The 5,299-nt window shown below is 36.9% G+C and overlaps 1 protein-coding gene across 8 annotated transcripts in view; it reads right to left on the bottom strand.

The window, feature by feature from the left end:
- The window catches only part of TRMT11 (tRNA methyltransferase 11), a 285,804-nt gene that overhangs the window by 24,471 nt on the left and 256,034 nt on the right, over window positions 1-5,299 (bottom strand). The gene's annotated exons all lie outside the window — the stretch shown is intronic.

The following is a 5,299-nucleotide window of genomic DNA, read 5'->3' as shown; positions in this document are numbered from 1 at the left end:
CTAAAAAATAAATTTTCTTTCATTATTTCTCTAATAATTTCTTTAGGATATTTTGTTTTCTTCTCTCTTTCTTAAACTCCTTTTGAAGGATCTTAGCTTTCCCCGACGGATCTTCTAAGACTTTAAACTTTACTTCTATATGTTCCTAGTTTTCTTTTATCCCAATTTCTAAGAGATTTCATCAGGTTTTATCCCAGCACTTATTTTCCATTTTCCTTATTTTCAGGCATCATATTCCTAAATTTCCAGTAAGTCTTTATAGTTCTATGGTTGCTTCTTTTTTATAATGACTATTATATATATATATTTATATATTTATTTATATTTTTATATATTTATATATTTATTTATATATTTATATATAGAGAGAGATAGGTATTTTAGATAGATAGATAGATAGATAGATAGATAGATAGATAGATAGATAGATATGTTCTGTGTCCTAAATTATCTGTTTATTGGCTGGGTGCGGTGATAACTCATTCGTTCTTCTTGGTACTGTGTGTGTGTATATGTGTGTGCGTGTGTGCGTGCATGTGTGTGTGTATAAGATTATTTCTCCTCTGTTATGATATTTGCCAATTTAAAGTTATGAACTGAGGGCTAGTTTAGTTGATACACTTTGCTAGTCTGGGCTCTCTCTGCCAGCATGCAGTCCTATTCCCCACAAGGCTCTTCAATAGGAGAGATGGATTGTAAGCTTTGAGCCCACAAGTCTTTTTAAACCATGTGAGCAGAAATCAGGGAGCAAGCTAAGCCCATACAGCGAGGAACAGCTGTTTGGAGAACAACCATACACCTAGACCTCTGGCCACTGCCTTCTTCAAAAGCTGGAAGTCTTATCTCCAGGTTGGCAGAACTTCGGAAGCACCAGCCTCAGGCAGCATGACTTCTACCTTCACCGCAGCCCTCTGTGAGTGCAAATTGTAGGCTGCGCTCCTGCTTCTCCATTTCTTAATATGTAACATATTTTCTATCTTCCAGAAACTAATCAAGATTAATAGTTTGCATGTGTCTCTGCCTGATTTGAGAACTACTATAAATTTATTACCTTTGGTACTTTTAAGTTTTATTTTAATGGGATTTATGGAGGGAGAATAGATATATGTATTTTCAATCTGTCACCTTGAACCAGAAACCTTACTCCCTCAACCTCAAAGTTTTCTCCCACAGCCCTGCTCTCTGCCACTTCTCTGATATTTATTTGTCCTATTAGTGCTGGCTTTTCTCTTATCTTTCCCTAAGTGTTGATATTTCATCCTTTAATATCTCCTCTTTTCTTCCACTTTATTCTCTGTGGAGGGTTTTCAGTCACTTCCGTGGATGCAGCTATCACTTTATGCAGGTGGACCCATTCCACATGATCAGCTCTCATCTCCCTCTGGGCTCCAGTTTCTGAGCTACTCACTATTATCATTCACACTATGTTTTACTTTTCCATCCAGATGTCAGGAAATGGTAGATCCTCAGTAATATTTGACTTAATTAACTAATTAACTAGTGAGAGCTGAAGGGATCTAGAATGAGTTTTAAGGTGATCTACTACACCATATTATTTCCCAATTATTTTTCACAAATGCATCAGTAATTAGTGAAGTATTTGTTCACCTTCGTGTGAGCTCAACCATAAGCCTCCTGTTTACCATAATTACTTTTAGGAGCAAGATCTCACTCCATCACCCACTGCAGCCTCGATCTCCTGGGGTCAAGCTGGGACTACAGGTGTACATCACTACACCTGGCTAATTTTTTTTTTAAGAGACGAGGTTTCACCATGTTGCCCAGGCTGGTCTCAAACTCCTGGGCTCAAGCAATTTGCACGAATCTGGGCTTAGTCTCCCAAAGTGTTAGAATTACAGGCATAAGCCACAGTGTCCAACCCATAATTTTTACATAACTGATTTTTTAATTTAATTTCTTTTCTTTTCTTTTTTTATAATAGAGATGGGATCTCAATATGTTGCCTAAGCTGGTCTTGAACTCCTAGGCTCAAGTGATTCTCCCACCTTGGCCTCCCAAAGAGCTAGAATTATAGGCATGAGCCACCACACCCAGCCTATAACGGTTTTTTGGTAATACAGTATATTCAAACTTCACTAGCTACCCACCACCAAACTGGAGACTAAAACTCTAGAGAGGAACAAAGAGCCATACCAATTTCCAGTTTCCAGTTATAATACAGCACTGTAATTCCACTTCCAATTTCAGTTACTATAATCAAACTTCTGTTATATCAAGTTTTTAAAGCTAAAATACTCAAAGCAGAAGTTTTCACTTACCTAATTGGCTACCAATGCAAGTGCAGATTCAATCCATCTGTCCCTAAGTGGATATGTGTACCTCTGCCAGTCTGACCTTTGTTTTGACTTTAAATTACCTTTTAAAGGCTGATTTCCCTTGGAAGCAAACCTTTTAACAGTTGCCCTTTAAGTTTGAGCAATTCAATTATAATAACTTTTGATACTGGACGTAGATTCTATGCCATCTTACAGTAGGAGGTGAACAGTTTCAAATTAGACAAGTTTCTCCCATCACCATATGTACCATATGCATATGTATATGCATAAAAGGCAAATAAATAAACACTCTTCTTTGTCCACACAGCACAATTATATGCACATCCAATAAAGTGGTATACTAAACACAAAAATAGTTCCTCCAGCTCTAATCATTCATGGGTCCACCCAATTTGTCTTCATATTCAAGGGTTCCTAGAATAATTGCTCACATATCCTCCCAATGAAAACATAAAGCCTTTCTTAAATTTAAAAAAAGAAACTGAAGACAAATGGGGATTTTCTCAGATTGGAAATCATATGTCAACCTTTATCTAAATATTTTAAACAGAAAACCCTTAATATGAATAATAGTAACAATAATGTGTTGGATATAGACATTATTCTAACCTCATTACATTGAATATTTTACATAATTTTTAAAATAACTTTTTGAGAAGTCATAAAAAGTTAAACGTCTTGACCAAATTGTTTTGCCCAGTCTCTAAACTGTAGAGTTGGGACTTAAACCCAGGCAATCTGATACCAAAACCCACGTTTTTAACCACTAGTCAAGGATATCAAATAAATTGCACCTTGCGTGTCACCTGTTATTGACTGATAGTTCCTGTATGGAGTAGGATGTTGAAAAAATTTAGTAACAAAACTCAGTCAGACAGAGTGTCGAAACTGAAAAATTTCAGCCATGAACACATTAGAGTTGTGGATTCTATTCTAGAATATATCTGTCTAGAATCCATCCGTCCCTAAGTGGATACGTGTATCTCTGACAGTCTGACCTTTGTTTTGGCTTAAATTACCCTGTCAAAAGCTGATTTCCCTTGGAAGCAAAGCTTGTAATAGTTGCCCTTTAGGTCTGAGCATTTCAATCATAACTTTTGATACTGGCCATAGATTCTATGCAATCTTACAGTAGGAAATCTTTGCCCTTCTAGGAAAGGTAAAAGTGAAAGGCGGGGAAGAGAGAGAAGAGACTTATTGACCTGTGTGTTTACAAACAACTCTCAGAAAAATCACAGATAATTTAGTTTTAAAAATAACACAGAATATAGCAAACCATGCCAGCAATCTATCTTCATCTATATTAAGCTTATATTATAAAAAAATACTAATGATTTGAGTTTTAGTTTAGCTGTATGTTACTTTATTTCTCCCATACACTGATGGGGATTTTTTTTTTTAATGAAGGAAGTAGTATGAAAAAGAAAGAGGAGAGAGACGAGATGCTTAGAAACCCATCACTCAGATGAATGAGTCTATTTTGTTCAATGCTAAGAACATTTTAGAAAATATAGAAAAGACCTTAACTTTCTTTTCTAAAGGCTCAGATAGCAGAAACTCACGTAGAAAGTGGAAACTAAAATGTGGTAGAATCATATTTTTGTGATATTTACCTATGCTTTTTTTCTTCTGGCCCTTTTTTTATTATACTTTAAGTTTTAGGGTACATATGCACAACGTGCAGGTTTGTTACATATGTATACATGTGCCATGTTGGCTTGCTCCACCCATGAACTCGTCATTTACATTAGGTATATCTCCTAATGCTATCCCTCCCCACCTCCGCCCACCCCACAACAGGCCCCGGGGAGTGATGTTCCCCTTCCTGTGTCCATGTGTTCTCATTATTCAATTCCCACCTATGAGTGAATATGCGGTGTTTAGTTTTTTGTCCTTGGGATAGTTTGCTGAGAATGATGGTTTCCAGCTTCATCCATGTCCCTACAAAGGACATGAATTCATCTTTTTTTATGGCTGCATAGTATTCCATGGTGTATATGTGCACATTTTCTTAATCCAGTCTATCATTGTTGGACATTTGGGTTAGTTCCAAGTCTTTGCTATTGTGAATAGTGCCGCAATAAACATACGTGTGCATGTGTCTTTATAGCAGCATGATTTATACTCCTTTGGGTATATACCCAGTAATGGGATGGCTGGGTCAAATGGTATTTCTAGTTCTAGATCCCTGAGGAATCGCCACACTGACTTCCACAATGGTTGAACTAGTTTACAGTCCCACCAACAGTGTAAAAGTGTTCCTATTTCTCCACGTCCTCTCCAGCACCTGTTGTTTCCTGACTTTTTAATGATCGCCATTCTGACTGGTGTGAGATGGTATCCCATTGTGGTTTTGATTCGCATTTCTCTGATGGCCAGTGATGATGAGCATTTTTTCATGTGTCTTTTGGCTGCATAAATGTCTTCTTTTGAGAAGTGTCTGTTCATATCCTTCGCCTAGTTTTTGATGGGGTCGTTTGATTTTTTCTTGTAAATTTGTTTGAGTTCTTTGTAGATTCTGGATATTAGCCCTTTGTCAGATGAGTAGATAGCAAAAATTTTATCCCACTCTGTAGGTTGCCTGTTCACTCTGATGGTAGTTTCTTTTCCTGTGCAGAAGCTCTTTAGTTTAGTTAGATCCCATTTGTCAATTTTGGCTTTTGTGGCCATTGCTTTTGGTGTTTTAGACATGAAGTCCTTGCCCATGCCTATGTCCTGAATGGTATTGCCTAGGTTTTCTTCTAGGGTTTTTATGTTTTTAGGTCTAACATTTAAGTCTTTAGTCCATCTTGAATTAATTTTTGTATGAGGTGTAAGGAAGGGGTCCAGTTTCAGCTTTCTACATATGGCTAACCAGTTTTCCCAGAACCATTTATTAAATAGGGAATCCTTTCCCCATTTCTTGTTTTTGTCAGGTTTCTCAAAGATCAGATAGTTGTAGATGTGTGGCATTATTTCTGAGGGCTCTGTTCTGTTCCATTTGTCTATAACTCTGTTTTGGT

Source organism: Homo sapiens, chromosome 6 (assembly GCF_000001405.40).
Source record: "Homo sapiens chromosome 6, GRCh38.p14 Primary Assembly".
NCBI lineage: Eukaryota > Metazoa > Chordata > Mammalia > Primates > Hominidae > Homo > Homo sapiens.
This window is presented reverse-complemented; position numbering and strand designations above follow the sequence as displayed.